We start from the raw sequence: 21,889 nt of genomic DNA on the forward strand, positions 1-21,889 counted from the left end.
ATAGGCCTTAGCAAATATGACAAAAACTTAACATTTCATGACAAAAGCAATGGAAGCAAAAACAAAAATTGGCAAGTGGGACCTAATGAAACTAAAGAGCTTCTACATAGCAGAAGAAACTGTAAACAGAGTAAAGGGACAACCTACAAAATGGGAGAAAATACTTGCAAACTATGCATCTGACAAAGATCTAATATCCAGAATCTATGAACTTAAATAAATCAACAAGCCAAAAAAAAAAAAAAAAAGAAAACTCATTAAAAATGGGCGCTACGCTGGGCGCGATGGCTCACGCCTGTAATCCCAACACTTTGGGAGGCCGAGGCAGGCGGATCACGAGGTCAGGAGATCAAGACCATCCTGGCTAACACAGGGAAACCCCGTCTCTACTAAAAAATATACATAAAAAATTAGCCAGGCGTGGTGGCGGGCGCCTGTAGTCCCAGCTACTCAGGAGGCTGAGGCAGGAGAATGGCGTTAACCCGGGAGGCGGAGCTTGCAGTGAGCCGAGATCGTGCCACTGCACTCCAGGCTGGGTGACACAGCGAGACTTTGTCTCAAAAAAAAAAAAAAGGGCACGACATAAACAGACACTTGTCAAAAGAAGACATATACACACAGCCGATAAGCATATGAAAAAAATGCTCAACATCACTCATCATTAGAAAAATACAAATGAAATTCACAATGAGATACCATCTCACACTAGTTAAGAATAATTATTTAAACATCATATTTCAATCTTTAATTTTTTTCTGAATTCCGGCAGGAAATGGAGTATTATTATTAAATCCCTTCAACCTCAACAAGTTTGCTTGCTATGTACCTTGAAAACCCTATGAGATTCGATTTTCAGGACCAAATACAACCTGCAGAATGCAAAGTTTCTTGTATAGGGAAGATAGTTATAGTGTAGGACCACCATATTATAGTAGTTGAGTGTATTTTTGGCTCTGACTTTGAAGGGTCACTCAGCCTCGGGTGGCTTTGTCTACAGGTAAAGAATTGCTTTATCTAAGCAGATTTTCTTTTTCTTTTTTCAATAGATACGGAGCTTGGCGAATACAGAATATTGAGTCTCTAGCAAATGCAGAATAATCAGTTCTTACCAAACATGAACTTCCAAGACATTAGAAAATGCTGACCTTTTGGAGTCAGCAATGTGTGCTAATGTTAGTTTAAGCATATGAACTGTTACAGTTTGACCTCAACTATGCAGTATGTCCTTGCAAGTGAGGTCTTGGTATGGATTAAATCGTTTTGTAACAGGGGAAGAGAAAATATTTGCCATTTTATAGTGTATCTCAGCTGTGAAGGCATGAATTTAAAAGTTGAAAATGTGCTATGTTTTGTATCAAAGGTCACAATCAATAGAGTGAAAAGACAATGTACAGAATTAGAAAAATATTTGGAGATAAAAATCTGATAAAAAGTTAATATATGGAATATATTTTAAAAACTCCTACAAGTCAACAACAACAAAAATCAATAACCTGATTTAAAAAGTCAGCAAAGTACATAAATAGGCATTTTCCCAAATTTGACATATAAATGGCAAACAAGCAAATGAAAAGATGCTCAACATCACTAATTGCTAGAGAAATGCAAATCAACCACCAGGAGATATTATCTCACAACCATCACAATGGCTACTATGAAAAACAAAAACCAAAATAAATGTTTGAAAGGATGTAGAGAAACTAGAACCCTGTTCACAGTTAATAGGATTGTGAAATGGTATAAGTGTTACGGGAAATAGGATGTAGATTTCTCAAAAAATTGAAAATAGAATTACAATTTCTGGTTATATATCGAAAGGAATTGAAACCCAGGTCTTGAAGAAATATTTGCACACCCATGTTCATAGCAGAAGTATTTACAATCACCAAGAGATAAAAGGAAACCAAATGTCCATCGACAATAAATAATAAAGTGCAGTATATACATACAATGAAACATTATTCAACTTTAAAAAAGAAGAAGTTTTTATCACATGCTACAACGTGAATGAACCTTGAGGATGTCATAGTAGGTGAAATAAGGGAGTCAAAAAAAGACAAATACAGGCATACTTTGGAGATATTGAGGGTTCTGTTCCAGATGACTTCAATAAAGCAACTATTGCAATGAAGTGAGTTGCACAATTTTTTTTGTTTTCCAGTGCACATAAAATTTAGATTTACACTATAGTATAGATTATTAATTATGCAACAGCATTATGTCTAAAAACAATGCACACACCTTAATAAAAATGTTTTATTGCTAAAAATGGCTAACAATCATTTGAGCCTTCAGCAAGTCATAATTTCTTTGTTAGTGGAGAGTCTCACCTTAATGCGGATGGCTGTTCACTGATCAGGACAGTGCTTGTTGAAGTTTGGTAATTTCTTAAAATAAGACAACAATGAAGTTTGCCATATCAAATGACTGTTCCTTTCCTGGAATATTTCTCTATAGCATGTGAAACTTTTTTTCATTTTTTTTTTATTTTTCCATAGGTTTTTGGACTAGAGGTAGTATTTGGTTACATGAGTAAGTTCTGTAGTGGTGATTTGTGAGATTTTGATCCACCTATAACCCAAGCAGTATACACTACACCCTATTTGTAGTCTTTTATCCCTCATCTCCATCCCACCCTCCCCCACAATCCCCCAAAGTCCATTGTATAATTCTTTTTTTTTTTTTTTTTGAGATGGAGTCTCACTCTGTCACCAGGCTGGAGTGCAATGGCATGATCTCGGCTCACTGCAAACTCCGCCTCCCGGGTTCAAGTGATTTTCCTGCCTCAGCCTCCCAAGTAGCTGGGATTACAGGCATGCACCACCACTCCCAGCTAATTTTTGTATTTTTAGTAGAGACAGGGTTTCACCATGTTGGCCAGGCTGGTCTTGATATCCTGACCTCGTGATCCTCCCACCCTGGCCTCCCAAAGTGCTGGGATTACAGGCGTGAGCCATTGCGCCTGACCCGTTGTATAATTCTCATGCCTTTGCATCCTCATAGCTTAGCTCCCACATATCAGTGAGGACATATGATATTTGGTTTTCCATTCCTGAATTACTTCAGTTAGAATAATAGTCTCCAATCTCATCCAGGTCACTCTGAATGCCATTAATTCATTCCTTTTTATGGCTGAGTAGTATTCCATAGTATATATATGCCACAGTTTCTTTATCTAATCATTGATTGATGGGCATTTGGGTTGGTTCCACGATTTTGTAATTGTGAACTGTGCTGCTATAAACAAGTGTGTGCAGGTATCTTTTTCAAATAATGACTTATTTTCCTCTGAGGTGACTCCCAGTAGTGGGATTGCTGGATCAAATGGTGGTTCTACTTTTAGCTCTTTAAGCAATCTCCACACTGTTTTCCACAGTGGCTGTACTAGTTTACATTCCCACAAGCAATGTAGAAGTGTTCCATGTTTACCACATCCACACCAACATCTATTGTTTTTTGATTTTTTGATTATGGCCATTCTTGCAGGAGTAAGGTGATATTGCATTGTGGTTTTGATTTTCATTTCCCTGATCATTAGTGAAGCTGAACATTTTTTCATATGTTTGTTGGCTATTTGTATATCTTCTTTTGAGAATTGTCTGTTCATGTCCTTAGCCTACTTTTTGATGAGATTGTTTGTTTTTTTTTCTTGCTGATTTGCCTGAGTTTGTTGTAGATTCTGGATATTAGTACTTTGTCACATGTATAGATTGTGAAGATTTTCTCCCACTCTGTGGTTTGTCTGTTGACTCTGCTGACGGTTCCTTTTGCCATGCAAAAGCTCTTTAGTTTAATTAGGTCTCAACTATTTATCTTTGTTTTTATTGCATTTGCTTTTGGGTTTTTGATCATGAAATCCTTGCCTAAGCCAATGTCTAGAAGGGTTTTTCCAATGTAATATTCTCGAATTTTTGTAGTTTCAGGTCTTAGATTTAAGTCCTTAATCCATCTGGATTTGATTTTTGTGTAAGGTGAGAGATGAGGATCCAGTTTCATTCTCCTACATGTGGCTAGACAATTATCTCACCATCATTTGTTGAATAGGGTGTCCTTTCTCCACTTTACGTTTTTGTTTGTTTTGTCAAAGATCAGTTGATTATAAGTATTTGGGTTTACTTCTGGGTTCTCTATTCTCTTCCATTGGTCTATGTGCCTATTTTTATACCAGTACCATGCTGTTTTGGTGACTATGGCCTTATAGTATAGTTTGAAATCAGGCAATGTGATGCCTCCAGATTTGCTCTTTTTGCTTAGTCTTGCTTTGGCTATATGGGCCCTTTTTTGGTTCCAAGTGAATTTTAGAATTTTTTTTTTAATTCTGTGAAGAATTATGGTGATATATTCATGGCAATTTGTAGATTGCTTTTGGCAGTATAGTCATTTTCACAATATTGATTCTACCCATCCATAAGCATGAGATGGGTTTCCATTTGTTTGTGTCATCTATGTTTTCTTTCAGTAGTGTTTTGTAGTTTTCCTTGTAGAATGCTTATGCCTCCTTGGATAGCTATAATCCTAAGTATTCTACTTTTTTTGCTGCTATTGTTAAATGGGTTGAGTTCTTGATTTGATTCTCTGCTTGGTCGCTATTGGTGTATAGGAGAACTACTGATTTATGTACATTAATCTTGTATCCAGAAACTTTGCTGAAAACTTTTATCAGCTATAGGAGTTTTCTGGAGGAGTCTTTAGGGTTTTCTGGGTAAACAATCATATCATCAGCAAACAGTAACAGTTTGACTTCCTCTTTACCGATTTGGATACCCTTTATTTCTTTCTCTTGTTGGATTGCTCTGGCTAGGACTTCCAGTACTATGTTGAAGATAAGTGGTGAGTGTGGGCATCCTTTTCTTGTTCCAGTTCTCAGAGGGAATGCCTTCAACTTTTCCCCATTCAGAGTTATGCTGGCTGTGGGTTTGTCATAGATGGCTTTTATTACATTGAGGTGTGTCCCTTTTATGCCAATTTTGCTGAGTTTTAATCATAAAGCAATGCTGGATTTTGTCAAATGCTTTTTCTATATCTATTGAGATGATCATGCAATTTTTTAAAAATTCTGTTCATGTGGTATATCACATTTATTGACTTGCATATGTTAAACCACCCCTGTATCCCTGTTATAAAACCCACATAATCATGGTGGGTTATCTTTCTGTTATATTGTTGGATTCGGTTAGCTAGTATTTTGTTAAGGATTTTAGCAACTATGTTCATCAGGGATATCAGTCTGTAGTTTTCTTTTTTGGTTATGTCCTTTCCTGATTTTGGTATTAGGATGATGCTGGCTTCATAGAAAGAATTAAAGAGGGTTCCCTCTTTCTCTCTCTTGTGGAATAGTGTCAATAGGATTGGTACCAATTCTTCTTTGAATATCTAGTAGAATTCTGCTGTGAATCCGTCTGGCTATAAAGTTTTTTTGTTGGTAATTTTTAAATTACTATTTCAATCTCTCTGTTTGTTATTGGTCTGTTTAGGGTGTCTATTTCTTCGTGATTTAAACTAGGAGGGTTGTATTTTCCCAGGAATTTATCCATCTCTTCTAGGTTTTCAACTTTATATGCATAAAAGTGTTTATAGAAGCCTTAAATGATCTTTTGTATTTCTGTGGTGTCAGTTGTAATATCTCTCATTTCATATCTTATTGAGATTATTTGGATTTTCTCTCTTCTTTTCTTGCTTAATCTTGCTAATGGTCTATCAATTTTGTTTATCTTTTCAAAGAACCAGCTTTTTGTTTCATTTACCTTTTGTATTTTTTTGGTTTTAATTTCATTTAGTTATGCTCTGATCTTGATTATTTCCTTTCTTCTGCTGGGTTTGGGTTTGGTTTGTTCTTGTTTCTCTAGTTTCTTGAGGTGTGACCTCAGAATGTCAGTTTGTGCTCTTTCAGTCTTTTTGATGTAGGCATTTCGGGCTATGAGCTTTTCTCTTGGCATTGCCTTTGCTATATCCCAGAGGTTTTGATAGGTTATGTCACTACTGTCATTCAGTTTGAATAATTTTTTAATATCCATTTTGATTTCATTTTTGACCCAATGATCATTCAGGAGCAAATTCTTTAATTTCCATGTATTTGCATGGTTTTGAAGGTTCCTTTTGTAGTTGATTTCCAGTTTTCTTCCACCGTGGTCTGAGAAAATGCTTGATATAGTTTCAATTTTCTTAAATTTATTGAGGCTCATTTTATGGCCTATCATATGATCCATCTTGGAGATATTTCCAGCACTGTTGAGTAGAATGTGTATTCTGCAGTTGTTAGATGGAATGTTCTGTATGTATCTATTAAGTTGATTTCTCCAAGGTATAGTTTAAATCCATTGTTTCTTTGTTGACTTTCTGTCTTGATGACCTGTCTAGTGCTGTCAGTGGAGTATTGAAGTCCCTCACTATTATTGTGTTGCTGTCTATATCATTTCTTAAGTCTATTAGTAATTGTTTTATAAATTTGAGAGCGCCAATATTAAGTGCATATATGTATAGGATTGTGATATTTTCCTGTTGGAAAAGACCCTTTACCACTATGTAATGTCCCTCTTTGTCTGTTTAAACAGCTGTTGCTTTAAAGTTTGTTTTGTCTGATATAAGAATAGATACCCCTGCTCACATTTGGTGTTCATTTGCATGGAATACCTTTTCCCACCCCTTTCTTTTAAGTTTATATGAGTCTTTATGTGTTAGGTGAGTCTACAGAAGGCAGCAGATAGTTGGATGGTGAAACCTTATCAATTTCGCAGTTCTGTATCTTTTAAATAGAGAATTTAGGCCATTTGCATTCAATGTTAGTATTGAGATGTTAGGTACCATTCCATTCATTGCGCTATTTGTTGCCTGTATACCTTGTTTTTGTTTTTGCTTTTTAAATTGTATTCTGTTTTATAGGTCCTGTGAGATTTATGCTTTAAAGAGGTTCTGTTTTGATGTGTTTCCAGGATTTGTTTCAAGATTTAGAGCTTCTTTTAGCAGTTCTTGTAGTGGTGGTTTGGTAGTGGTGAATTCTCTCAGCATTTGTCTGAGAAAGACTGTATCTTTCCTTCATATATGATGCTTAATTTCGCTGGATACAAAATTGTTGGCTGATAATTGTTTTGTTTGAGGAGGCTGAAGATAGGGCCCCAGTCCCTTCTAGCTTTTAGGGCTTCTGCTGAGAAATCTGCTGTTAATCTGATAGGTTTTCCTTTATAGGTTACCTGGTGCTTTTTTCTCACAGTTCTTAAGATTCTTTCCTTCATCTTAACTTTAGATATCCTGATGACAATGTGCTGAGGTGATGATCTGTTGTGGTGAATTTCCCAGGTATTCTTTGTGCTTCTTGTATCTGGATGTCTAATTCTCTAGCTAGGCCAGGGAAGTTTTCCTCAATTATTCCCCCAAATATGTATTCCAAACTTTTAGACTTCTCTTCTTCCTCAGGAGCACCAATGATTCTTAGGATTGGTTGTTTAACATAATCCCAGACTTCCTGGAGGCTTTGTTCATATTTTCTTATTCTTTTTCCTTTGTCTGTGTTGGACTGGGTTAATTCAAAGACCTTGTCTTCAAGCTCTGAATTTCTTTCTTCTACTTGTTCAATTCTATTGCTGAGAATTTCCCAGAGCATTTTGCATTTCTATAAATGTATCCAATGTTTTCTGAAGTTTTGATTGTTTTTTCATTATGCTATTTATTTCCTTGAATGTTTATCCCTTCATTTCTTGTATCGGTTTTTGGATTTCCTTGCATTGGGCTTTGCCTTTCTCAGATGCCTCTCTGATTAGCTTAATAACTAACCTCCCGAATTCTTTTTCAGGTAAATCAGGGATTTCTTCTTGGTTTGGATCCATTGCTGCGTGAGCTACTGTGATTTTTTTGGGGTGTATTAAAGAGTCTTGTTTTGTCATATTGCCAGAGTTGGTTTTATGGCTTCTTCTCATTTAGGTAGGCACTGTCAGAGGGAAGGCCTAGGACTGAAGGCTGTTGTTCGGATTTTTTTGTCCCACGGGGTGTTCACTTGATAGAATACTCTCCCCCTTCTCCTATGGATGTGGCTTCCTGAGAGCCGAGCTATAGAGGTTGTTATCTCTCTTCTGGGTCTAGCCACCCAGTGAGTCTACCAGGCTCCGGGCTGGTACTAGGGGTTGTCTGCATAGAGTCCTGTGATGTGAACCATCTATGGGTCTCTCAGCCACAGATACCAGCACCTGTTCCGGTGGAGGTGGCAGGGGGGTGAAATGGACTCTGTGAGGGTTCTTAGCTTTGGTGGTTTAATACTCTACTTTTGTGCTGGTTGGCCTCCTGCCAGGAGGTGGCACTTTCCAGACAGCATCAGCTGTGGTAGTATGGAGAAGAAATGGAGGTGGTTGGGGCCCTAGAACTCTCAAGAGTATATGCCCTTTTTCTTCAGCTACCAGAGTGGGTAGGGAAGAGCCATCAGATGGGGGCAAGGCTAGGTGTGTCTGAGTTCAGACTCTCCTTGGGCAGGTCTTGCTGCAGCTGCTGCGGGGAATGGGGATGAGGTTCCCAGGTCAAAGAAGTTGTGTACCTAGGAGGATTGTGGCTGCCTTTGGTGAGTCATGCAGGTTGTCAGGAAAGTTGGGGAAAGCCGGCAGTCACAAGCTTCACCCAGCTCCCACGCAATCTGAAGGGCTGGTCTCACTCCCTTCATGCCCTGGCTAACAGCAGCAAGTCTGTTTCAAGGCAGTGGACAAGCAGAGCTGAGACCTTGCTCCAGGCTACCCACCTCCCAGCTGTGAAAGGAAAGGGCTTTAGTTCTTCCCCCACCTGTGGAGTCTGCATGCCAGACTCATGCCCTCCTCAGAGTTCTGGCCAAGAGGCTTCTCCACCAGTTCAAATTGTTACAAAGTTCAGCTGGAGACTTCCTTCTCCCTGTGCCATTTTTCCCTGTGCCACTGGCCACCCTCCCAAAGGATCTCTTTGATGCCAGGCAGAAATGGCCTGCTTGGGGACCCAGCAAGCTCCCAGGGCCTGTCCTGCTGCTTCCTCTACCCCTGTATTTTGCTCAGCTGTCTAAATTGATTCAGCTTCAGATAAGGTCGGAATCTTCTCCCACTAACTAGACCTTCAGTCTCCCCAGTGGGGGTATGTGTTTGGGGGTGGAGGATCTCCCTGCCCCACTTCCGCAGTTTGGGCACCCACAGTACATGGGGTGTCTCCTGGGTCCTGAAGGAGAAGTCCGCTTCCTTCAGAGAGTCTGTAGGTCCTCTCGGGATTCCTGATTTATTCCTGCAGTCGTTCTGGAGCTAAAATTCACGATGCAAGCCTCTGCACAGTGCTCTGTCTGAGTTGGAGCTGCAGCCTTGCCCTGCCTCCTCTCTGCCATGATGAACCACATGTAATACTGTTTGGCAACATTTGACCCATAGCACGGTATAACTTTTTTCCAGATTGGAGTCAATACTCTCAAATCCTGTTGCTGCTTTATTACCTAAGTTTATCTAATATTCTAAATCATTTGTTGTCATTTCAACAATGTTCATGGCCTCTTCACAAGGAGTAGATTCCACCTCAAGAAACCACTTTATTTGCTTATCCATAAGAAGCAACTCCTCATTCATTAAGTTTTGTCATGAGAGTGCAGCAATTCCGTCACATCATCAGGTTTCACTTCTAGGTCTCTTGCTACTTCCACCACATATGTGGTTACTTCCTTCATTGAAGTCTTGAATTTCTCAAAGTCATTCATGATGGTTGGAATGAACTTCTTCAAAACTCTTGTTAATGTTGATATTTTGGCTTTCTCCCATAAATTGTGAGTGTTCTTAATAAAATCTAGAATGATGAATCCTTTCCAGAAGATTTTTAATTTGATCAGAGGAATCACTCTCTATGACAGGTATAGCCTCATGAAATGTATTTATGAAATAGTAAGACTTGAAATTCAAACTTAATTCTTGATCTGACATACTGCAGAATCAATGTTGTGTTAGCAGGCATGAGAACAACATTAATCTCCTTGTACAACTTCACCAGAGCTCTTGGGTAATTAGATACATAGTCAATAAGCAGTAATATTTGAAAGGACCTTTTTTTTTTCTGTGCAGTAGGTTTCAAGGGTGGGTTTAAAATATTTAGTAAACTATGCTGTAAACAGATGTGTTGTTATCCTGTCTTTGTTGTTTCATTTATACAGCACAGGTAGAATAAATGTAAGGGTTCTAAAAAGCTGGGCACAATGGTGCATACCTCTAGTCCCAGCTACTCGGGAGGCTGAGATAGGAGGATTGCTTGAGCCCAGGAATTTGAGAACAGCCTGGACAACATAGGAAGACCTACTGTTAAAAATAACAAATGAATAAATGAATGCATAAATAAATAAAAGTCCCTAGGATATTAACAATAGTAAATGAGCATTGGCTTCATCTTGAAGTCTCCAACTGCATTATCCCCTAACAAATATGTCAGCCTTGTTAATTAAACTTTTGAGGGTTTGAAGCCAGGAATCGACTTCTCTGTAGCAATAAAAGTCCTAGATGACATCTTTTGTCAATAGAATGCTGTTATATCTGCATTGAAAATCTGTTGTTCGGTGCAGCCACCTTCATCAGTGATTTTAAATAGATCTACTAGCTTCAAAGTTGTCTTCTGTGGCTTTCTCACCTCTCTCAGCCTTCATAGAATTGAAGAGAATTAGGGCTTTGCTCTGGGTTAGGCTTTAGCTTAAGGGAATATTGTGGCTAGTTTAATCTTCCATCTACACCAATAAACTGTCTCCCTGCCAGCAATAAGGCTGTTGCATTTATTTGTCATTTGTGTGTTCAGTGGAGTAGCACTTTTAATTTCCTCCAAGAACTCTTCCTTTGCATTTGCAGCTTGGCTAACTGTTTGATACAAGAGGCCTAGGTTGCAGCCCATCTCAATTTTCAACATGCCTTCCTCACTCAGCTTAATCATTTCTAGCTTTTGATTTACAGCAAGAGAGGTGGGATTGTTCTCTCCACTTGAAAACTTAGAGGCCAGTGTAGAATTATTAATTAGAATTATTTTAATATTGTTGTGCCTCAGAAAATAGAGAGGCCCAAGGAGAGGGGGAGAGATGGGAGAATGGCCTGTCAGTGGAGCAGTTAGAATGTACACAATATTTATGGATTTGTTTTCTTACATGGGTGTGGTTCGTGGTGCCTCCCTAAATAATTAAAATAGTATCATCAGAAATCATTGATAACAGATATGATAATAATGAAAAAGTTTGAAACATTCTGAGAATTACCAAAATGTGACACAGAGACATGAAGTGAGCACATGCTGCTGGAAAAAAAAAAAAAATGACAATGATAGACTTGCTTGATGCAGGGTTGCCACAAACCTTCAATTTGTAAAAACTGCAATATCTACAAAGCACAATAAAGCAAAGAGCATTGAAATGAGGTATGCCTTTACTGTGTGATTCTACTCATATAAGGTAGCTAAAATAGTCAAAATCATAGAAACCAAAGGTAGGATGTGGAATACCAGGAACAGGAGGGAGGGAGAAAGTGGATTTGCTCTTTAATTGGTATGGAGCTTTAGATTTGCAGGATGGAAAAGTTTTGGAAATCTGTTTTGCAAGAGTATCCATACACTTAACAACACTACTCAACTGCACATTTAAAATGGTTAAGATGGTAAGTTTTATGTCATATGTGTTTTACCGCAATAAAAAAATCTGCTCCATTCCACATAGACTAAGAAGTACTAATATTATAATGGAGGCTCTGGCTATAACCATATTGGTTCTAGGCCAAGACTGGCTGACCATATGCAAATGTTCTCTATAGTTTTGAATTAAATTTAGATAAGAAGGAGGAATTTATTCTTGGATTTATATACTTAAATATAGCCTCAGGAGTCACCTCTTATTATGTGTTCTTCAATCAATTCTGAATTTTTTAAATTACTTAAACACACTGATTTAGGTATTAGAGATCCAACGTTTTGCTTTACCCACAGGAGATGTTGAATTTTATAAATGCATACACAAAAAAGTTGAGAGACGTTTATTTTTTAAATTGACATTTTCTCATGTTGAAGTTGTGAAACAACTCAATAAAATCATTGTAAATCCTTAGGCTAAGGTGGAAACTTAAAAGGCTCATGCTTAAAAAACCTGAGGGAATCTAAGAATCAAGACTGCTCAGAAAAACAAGTAGACATAGAATTGAAAAATGTGCTTCACATTAAACATCTTACTCATAAAGTTTTATTTTAAAAGAGAAACTGTGAGTGAATTAAAACAAATAAAGAATGATAAGTTGTTTAAATGGGAGGAAGCAGTTATCTCAGAAGAAAATTGATGAATTAGAGGATAGAAATTTTGGAAATTTAGAGAATGAACTTTAAGGGCCTGGATAGAAAAATAAAAAGGGGAGAAGAGGAAGCCAGGTCCAGATGTTCTTGAAGAACTTAAAAGAAAAGGAGAGAACTCTTCTAAGCATTACTGGATCAAAATTGGTGATGGGGCTCAACAAAGGCAAGGTCATTAGAGACCTAACAATGACTCTACTAAGTGAAATCAGGAACTAGAAAATTCTAAAGCAGTGCTTCACAACATTTTTCAGATTATGGCACATGATATTTTTGTAGCACATTCAGACAAATGGACAAAGCTTCTCATATCAGACGTGACAAATCTAGGAACTCTAGTTACCTCTAACCTTTCCCATCTACCCCAGTACCTAAAGGGATCAAATCTAGGCTTTGTGCCGTCCATTTTACCTTATGATTGCCACAATTTCATCAGTTGTTTACAGAACATCTGAGTAGATTTATGAGGGAAGATGGGATAATTATCGCAAAACAAAGATTAATTGGTAAGTTCCAACTAGATACAGTTGTAGGTGAAGTATATATTGTAGGTGTGACTGTGTGTATCATGCTCAGGACATCTATGGATTTAGGATTCTAAAGGAAAGTATAAATAAAATGAGGCATTCTCAAGTGGAGCCAGGGAGAATAATTATTTATAGATTCCAGACAAGGGAATGATGTCGCTGCATGGAGAGTTTATTGTCTGGGTGGAGGCAAAGATGGGCAAGATTGTCAGAACAATGTTCTGCATTTGGCAGGCCCAGAATCATTGATTTTATATATTTCCCTGCAGGAAATAAAAGCTAGAGGCATATGGTAGGAAAGAAAACATCTGAGCCAACAAGCAAAGGGTAAGTAAAAGAAACAAATTTTCAGATTCAACAGCAGTGTCAGCTCTCTCTGTGTTAAATCAAGAGATCAAATTAAAAAACAAACTTAACTATTAGATGCTTATGGGTCTACAGCAGAAACGGAAGAGGGACACAGTCCAGGTAGAGAAAACATTAAGTATATCCCACAACGGAAAAAAATCCATTATTTCCGTAGAAATAAATCCATTAAGATTGAGAATATTCAAACTTGAGAAAAATAATATCTTGAGAAATAAATGTCAAAAATATTGGTCTTAATTAGCCCCTAAGGGCACAGGCTTCTGAAACACCAGTAGAAGTCACAACAGTTGAAGCAGCTGGTGGGAATTTCCAGTTGTCATAGATATGCGTGCTATGAGAATCTTCTCTGAACATCATGTTTCATAGGCCTATGTGATCCCATCACCACAATAACTGAGGCCAAGGACTCACACAAAGAAATGAATTTTCTACTGCGAAAGAAGCCCCCTGAAACAAAGGTTTAAAGCAGGAATGAAAGTTAGGAGGTTTTGGACATTCAATTTTTAAAATGGCACCTTGAGTAAACAAGATGGTGGGATTCAGATCCTGGGATTCTGAAGCCTGGCTTCAGAAAATCCATCCAGCAGCTACCCACAGACAAGAACACCTTTGTAAAAATTCCAAAACCTGGAAATGAGACTAAGACACTGAGAAATGAGACTAAGCATGGACACCGTAGAAACTGAACATAAAAACAAAAACAAACAAGCAAAAAAACACAGATGAATAAAAGGAACAGCCTCACTTTGACTATATTGCCCCTTCTCCAACTTGGCACTGCACCACATATCAAGCATTCACCATGGTTTCTACACTGGGAAAAGAGAACCCAAGGCAGACATCTAACATTGCCTACATTCTGTGGCACTTCCTAAGATGCCCATTCCTGTCTCACATCAAAATAAATACTGGGGATAACAACAGGAATAGACTGCCTGAGGTCAGCTAGAAACAAAGAAAAAGGTCAGGGCACAGAGAAACCATCATGCACATCTTTGTGGCAGCTCTAAGTTCCTGCCAGCAGTGGTGCCCTATCAAAAATATCAGTGAATGACATAACCTAGTCACAAAACTCAGTTGGTTGCTCCAAGAAGTACAGTGAAGTCTACGTGGTATGATTCTCTATTCAGCCAGCCACCCTGTCTACCCTCAGAAACCACCTCAAAGTTCCATCCAGGCTGAGAGATACCTGCCACTGCACACCACTGTGGAACAGAGGCATTGACCCTGACCAACCCAGGAGTTCAAACAGTGACTTTGTTCAACCTCAGAGCTTCCCTCAAGGCTCTGCCCAGGCAGGGAAGACCCCCACAGCTGTGAATTTCTGAAGAACATAGGCGCTGGCCCTGCCCAGCCCAGGAGTCCAATAAGTGACTTGACCCAGCCTCAAAGCTCAACCCAACACTCTGCTCAGACAGGAAGGCAAGCCTCAACTATGCCGTTACTATGCAGCATAGACACCCATCCCAAGTTGCAACCCCACCTGACCTGGGAGTTCAGTCTGCAGCCCTTCCTAATTGAAGATTCAAAACAACAGTACCATCTGGCCAGGTAATACAGCCTGTGACCCTGCTTGATCCAAGGCAATTTAAGTGCCCAGCCAGCAGCTCTGTCTTACTGCAGAGTTTAGCCATGGTCTCACTGGATAGCAGAGACAAGGAAGCAGCCCCATCTGACCTCAGAACAAAGGCAGTGGCTCAGTCCAACTAGAGAGCCTGACAGCAAGATCTGCCTGCCTGTGGCTTTTACCAAGTGGCTTATCTTTAATGCCAGACTAGACTAAATATGTAGAATGACAATTATTAAAAAGTCAGGAAACAACAGATGTTGGTGAGGCTGTGGAGAAACAGGGACCCTTTTTTTTTTTCCAAGACAGAGTCTCGCTCTGTCACCCACGCTGGAGTGCAGTGGTGTGATCTTGGCTCACTGCAACCTCCGCCTCCTGGGTTCAAGCAGTTCTTTTGCCTCAGCCTGAGTAGTTGGGATTATAGGCATGTGCCACCACACCCAGCTAATTTTTTTGTGTGTATATATATATATATATATATATATATATATTTTTTTTTTTTTTTTTTTTTTTTTGAGGCAGAGTCTCACTCTGTCACCCAGGCTGGAGTGCAGTGGTGCGATCTCAGCTCAGTGCCACATTTTCTTTATCCAGTGTATCATTGATGGGCTTTTGGGTTGGTTCCAAGTGTTTGCTATTGTGAACAGTGCTGCAGTAAACATATGTGTGCATGTATCTTTATGGTAGAATGATTCATAATCCCTTGGGTATATACCCAGTAATGGGACTGCTGGATCAAATGGTATTTCTGGTTCTAGATCCTTGAGGAATCATCACATTGTCTTCCACAATTTACACTCCCACCAACAGTGTAAGAGCATTCCTATTTCTCCACATCCTCTCCAGCCTCTCTTGTTTTCTGACTTTTTAATGATTGCCATTCTAATTGGCATGAGATGGTATCTCATTGCAGTTTTGATTTACAGAATACAGAAACAGAAAACCAAACACAGCATGTTCCCACTCATAAGTGGGAGTTGAACAATGAGAACACATGGACACAGGGAGGAGAACAAGACACACTGGGGCCTGTTGGGGGATGGAGGTAAGGGGAGGGAGAACATTAGAACAAATGCCTAATGCATCCAGGGCCTAAAACCTAGATGATGGTGCAGCAAACTACCATGGCAAATGTATAACTATGTAACAAACCTACACATTCTGCACATGTATCCCAGAACTTATAGTAAAATAAATAAATAAATAAATATTAAATAGTTACATTTCTTCCTTGCCAAAGAACACCTTTGAAGGCTGGCAGAAGTGATCTATTTTTCTCAAATGTGCAGACACTAAGGCAAAGACCAGTGATTATGAAGAATCAGGGAATTATGATACCCCTTAAAGAAAACTAATAAAGCTCTAATCACGGACCTTAAAGAAATAGAGACCTATAAAATGACTGATAAGAATTCAGAATAATTCTTTTAAATAAGTTCAGTGAACAACAAGAAAATACAAATAGAAAACAAAATAAAATCTGAAATTTGATGTAGAAATAAAATGAGAAGTTTGACAAAGAATTAGAAACAATTGAAAAATATCCTAGAAATGGAAAGTACAGTGACAGAAATAAAAAAATTAATAAAAATCTTCAACAGCACACCCAATCAAGAAGAAAGAATCAGTGAGCTCAATGACATTATATTTGAAATTATTCTGTCAGAGCAGCAAAAAGAAAAAAATGAGAAGAATAAAGAAAGCCTACAGGAATTATGGGACACCATCAAAGAACTAACTTTAGCACAGTAGAAGTTTCAGAAAGGCTAGACAGAGAAAAAAGACCAGAAAGCCTATTTAAAGAAATAATGGCTGAAATCTTCCCCAATCTGGGGAAAGATACCAACTTCCATGTGCATGAGTTCCAAGTGCACATGATTTGTTTGAAGAGGTCTCCAAACAAATCAGACCCAAAGTGGAGTTCACCAAAACACATCATAATCAAACTATCCATAATCAAAGACAAAGAAAAAATTCTGAAATCAGCAAGTAAGACGACACATATTACATATAAGGGAGTTCTAATATGGCTATCAATATACTTCTCAGCAGAAATCCAGCAGGCTTGGAGAGAATGAGATAATATATACAAAGTAGCAGAAGAATAAAAACTGCCAACCAATAATACTTTACCCTGATATCTTTGTGCTGCTGTAACAAAATACCTGAGAATGGGTAGTTTATAAAAACAGAAATTAATTTTCTCAAAGTTCTGAAGGCAGGGATTCCAAGGTTAAGGTACTAGCACCTGCTGAGGGCCTTCTTGTTGCATCCTCATATGGCAGAAGATAGAAGGGCAAAGGGACAAATGCTGTGTCCTCACATGGCAGAAAACCAAAAGAGCAAACTAGCCAAATGCTGTGTAAAGCTTTTAAAATAAACGTATTAATCCCATTCAAGAGGAAGAGGCTTTCATGGTCTTATCACCACTTAAAGGTACCACCTCTTAACACTATCTAATTATGAACACCTGGATTTCAGATGGGGTACATTCAAAACATAGCACCGGGCAAATCTGTTCTTCAGGAATAAGGGAGAAACAGAAATTTTCCCAGACAAACAAAAGCTAATAGAATTTATCACAACTAGCTCCACCTAATAAAAAATGCTAAAGGGAGTTCTTTAAGCTGAAACAAAAGACTGATAAATAATAACATAAAACAGACAAAAGTACAAAACTCAATGGTTTAAGTCATATGTAGTCATATTTAGAATACTCTAATGCTGTAACTGCGGTGTGTAAATCAACTTTATCTCTAGGATTACAGTTCAAAAACAAAATAGCTATAATAATTTGTTAAAAAACCCAAGTTGCAAAAATACATAAATTTTGACATCAAAATTATAAAATATGGGTGGCAAACAGTAAACCTGTAGAGTTTTTTATGTGATCAAATTTAAGTTGTTATCAGCTTAAAATACACTGTGAGATATTTTATGTAAGCCCAATGGTAACCACAAAGCAACAATCTATAGTAGATAAATTAAACAGAAAAAGAGTGGAATTAAAGTTCACCATTGCAGAAAACTATAAGCCACAAAGGAATATAGCAAGAAGAAAGAAAAAAAATCACAATCAGAAAAAAAATAAAAATTGGCAGTAGTAAGTTTTTATTTATCAATAATTATTTTGAATGTAAATGAATGAAATTTTCTATTCAAAAGGCACAGAGTGTCTGAATAAATTAAAAAACAAGTCCCAAACTATAGTTTCCCTACAAGAGATGCACTTTACATTTAAGAACACACATACACTGAAAGTGAAGGGATGAAAAAATATATTCCATATAAATAAAAATCAAAAGAGAACAGTAGTAGTAACATTTATATGCAATAAAATGGCATTTAACTCATGAATGGTGTAAAAAGAAGGTCATTATATCAGGATAAAGGGGTCAATTCATCAATAGGATATAATGATTATAAATATATATAACCTAACACTTGAGCACCTAAATATATAAAGCAAATATTAATAGATATGAAGAGAGAGATTGCAATATGATAATAGTAGAAGACTTTAATACCTCATTTCCAACTATAGACAGATCATCCAGAAAAACAATCAATAAAGAAACATTAGAATGTAATTACATTTTACATAAAATGGCAAACATTTTATATGTCTGTTAGCAAGAGCATACACATCTTCTCAAGCACATAAGGAAAATTCTCCAGGATAGATGATGTGTTAGTCCACAAAACATGTCATAACAAATTTAAGAAAACTGAAATCATATCAAGTATCTTTTCTCATCACAATAGTTCAAAACTGGAAATAAAAATAGGAGAAATCTTGAAAAATTCACAAATATGTGGAAATTAAACAACATCCTCCTGAACAACCAATGGGTCAAATAAGAAATCAAAAGGAAAATCAAAAACCTATTGAGACAAATAAAAATGAAAATACAGTATACCAAAATTTATGGGATACAACAAAAGGAGTTCTAACAGGGACATTTATAGCAATAAACACCTACATAAATAAAGAAGAAAGAAGAAGATAACATTGGAAAACCCTTCTAGACACCGGCGTATGCAAGGATTTCATGATCAGGAACCTGAAAGCAAATTCAATAAAAACAAAGATAAATAGTTGAGACCTAATTAAACTAAAGAGCTTTTGCATGGCAAAAGGACTGTCAGCAGAGTAAACAGACAACCCACAGAGTGGGAGAAAACCTTCACAGTCTGTACACCTGACAAAGTACTAATATCCAGAATCTAAAACGAACTCAAACAAATCAGCAAGAAAAAACAACCAGTCCTATCAAAAAGTGGGCTAAGGACATGAATAGATAATTCTCTAAAGAAAATATTCAATTGGCCAACAAACAAATGAAAAAAATGCTCAACATCAGGGAAATGCAAATCAAAACCACAATGTGATACCACCTTACTCCTGCAAGAATGGCCATAATAAAAAATAAAAAAAACAGTAGATGTTGGCATGAATTTGGTGAACATGGAACACTTCTACACTGCTGGTGGAATTGTAAACTGGTACAGCCACTATGAAAAACAATATGAAGTTTCCTTAAAGAACTAAAAGTAGAACTACCATTTGATCCAGCAATCCTACTACCGAGTAGCTACCCAGAGGGAAAGAAGTCATTATTCGAAAAAGATACTTGCTCACACATGTTTATAGTGGCACAATTTACAATAGCAAAATCATGGAACCAACCCAAATGCCCATCAATCAATGAATGGATAAAGAAACTGTGATATATATATATACACACACACACACACAATGGAATACTACTCATCCATAAAAAAGAATGAATTAACAGCCTTTGCAGTGACCTAGATGAGATTGGAGACTATTTTTCTAAGTAAAGTAACTCAGGAATGGAAAATCAAACATCACATGTTCTCAATGATATGTGAGAGCTAAGCTATGAGGATGCAAAGGCATATGAATGATACAATGGATTTTGGGGACCTTAGGGGAAGGGTGCAAGAGGGGTGAGGGATGAAAGACTACAAATATGTTTCAGTGTATACTGCTCGGGTGATGGGTGGACCAAAATCTCACAAATCATCACTAAAGAACTTATGTAGCCAAATACCACCTGTACCTAATAACTTATGCAAAATCTATAAATAAATAAAAATAAACAATCTAATATAACACTTCAAAGAACTAGAAAAACAAACTAAGCCCAAAGTTAGCAGAAGAAAGTAAATAACAAAGATCAGAAATAAGTTAATTAAAGACTAGACAAACAATAGAAAAGACTAATGAAACTGAGAGTTGTCTTCTTTTAATAATAAAACAAAATTGACAAAACTTTGGCTAGGCTAATTCAGTAAAAATAGAGAAGACTCAAATAAATGAAATCAGAAATAAAAGATGATCTATTATAATTGATAGCACAGAAATACAAAGGATCATAAGAAAATACTATAAGCAGTTATATACCAAAAAAACTGGATAACCTAGAAGAAATGGATAAATACCTAGAAACATATAACCTACCAAGACTAAATCATGAAGAAATAGACAATCTAAGTAGACCAATAACCAGTAAGGAGATCGAGTTAGTAATAAAATGTTTCCCATCAGAGAAAAACTCAGGACTGGATGGCTTTTCTGGTTAATTATACCAAACATTTAAAGAAGAAATACCAGTTCTTCTTGAATTCTTCCTAAAAATTGAAAAGGAGGCAATATTTCCAAACTCATTTTACAAGTTCAGCACCCTGATACCAAAGTCAAAGCCACCACAAGAAAAGAAAACTATAGGTCAATATCCCTGATGAATACAGATGCAAAATCCTCAAAATAATACTAGCAAATAAAATCCAAAAGCACATTAAAAAGCTCATTTACCATGACCAAGTAGGATTTATCCCTGGGATACTAGGATTGTTTAACACACACAAATCTATAAAACACAGGGGAAAACTTTACAGAATTGGTCTGGGCAATACTTTCTTGGATATGACCTTAAAGGCACAGGCAACAAAAGCAAAAATAGACAAATGGAATCACATCAAACCAAAAATTTTTTACATAGCAAAGAAAATAATAAACAGAGTAAAAAGACAATCCATCGAGTGGGAGAATATATTTACAAACCACGTATTTGATAAGTGGTGAATATTCACATGTATAAAAACTGAGTCAACTTAATAGCAAGAAAAATGTGATTTAAAAATGGGCAAATAACTTGAAAAGAAATTTCTCAAAAGAAGACATAAAAATGGCCAAAGCGTTCATGAAAAAAAATGTTCAACATCATTAATCATCAGATAAATGCAAATTAAAAACACAATGAGATATCACCTCACACCTTTTTAAAAAAGAAAGAAATTCTGTCATTTGTGACAATATGGATAAACCTGAAGGACAATATCCTAAGTGAAATAAGCCAGAAAGACTAATACTGCCTGCTTCGACTTGGGGAACGGGGAGGCTGTACATAGTTACTTTCTTCCAAAAAGTAAAATATGGAAAGGGGAGAAGTGAAAAAAAAAAAAAAAAAGGCCTGAAAAACATTACCCCAGCTACAAGATCAAGGTTACCATCAATGGTAATAAGTCACATTGATTTCATGTGCTCCTGATATGATGAGTGTAAAATTTTATCTCTGTGATCTTCCTCCACAAAACTCATAGCCCCGGGCTTACCATGAGAAAAACAACACACAAATCCCAATTGAAGGAAATTCTACAAAATATCTGACTGTTACTCCTCAAAAGGTCATTAAAAACAAGGAAAATCTGAGGAAATGTTATGGCCCAGAGGAGCCTACAGAGACATCATGACTAAATATGATGTCCTGGATGACATTCTGGAACAAAAAAAAGAGATATTAGGTAAAGGAAATCTGATGAAACTATGGGCTTTAGTTAATGTGCTGATTGGTTCATAACTTGTGACAAGTGTTCTATACTAATGCAAGATACTGACAATAGGGGACACTGATGTAGGGTATATAGGAACTCTGTAATATCCTCAACTTTTCTGCAAATTTAAAACTATTCTAAAATAAAAACCATATTTTAAAAAGTAAATATTCACTCAGTCTCTTTTTGGTGAAGGACAACTTCTAGTTCTAAGTCCTGAAGTAACCACACCTATTTCAGTGGAAGACATGCAGACTGCAACTGCTGCAAAAAGCTCAACTATCCCAAA

At 37.1% G+C, this 21,889-nt stretch overlaps 1 long non-coding RNA gene across 1 annotated transcript in view; it reads right to left on the reverse strand.

Annotated features, from left to right (window-relative positions):
- LINC02505 (long intergenic non-protein coding RNA 2505) overlaps nt 1-21,889 on the reverse strand; it is a 145,364-nt gene that overhangs the window by 63,614 nt on the left and 59,861 nt on the right. The gene's annotated exons all lie outside the window — the stretch shown is intronic.

Source organism: Homo sapiens, chromosome 4, assembly GCF_000001405.40.
Source record: "Homo sapiens chromosome 4, GRCh38.p14 Primary Assembly".
In the NCBI taxonomy this organism is placed as follows: domain Eukaryota; kingdom Metazoa; phylum Chordata; class Mammalia; order Primates; family Hominidae; genus Homo; species Homo sapiens.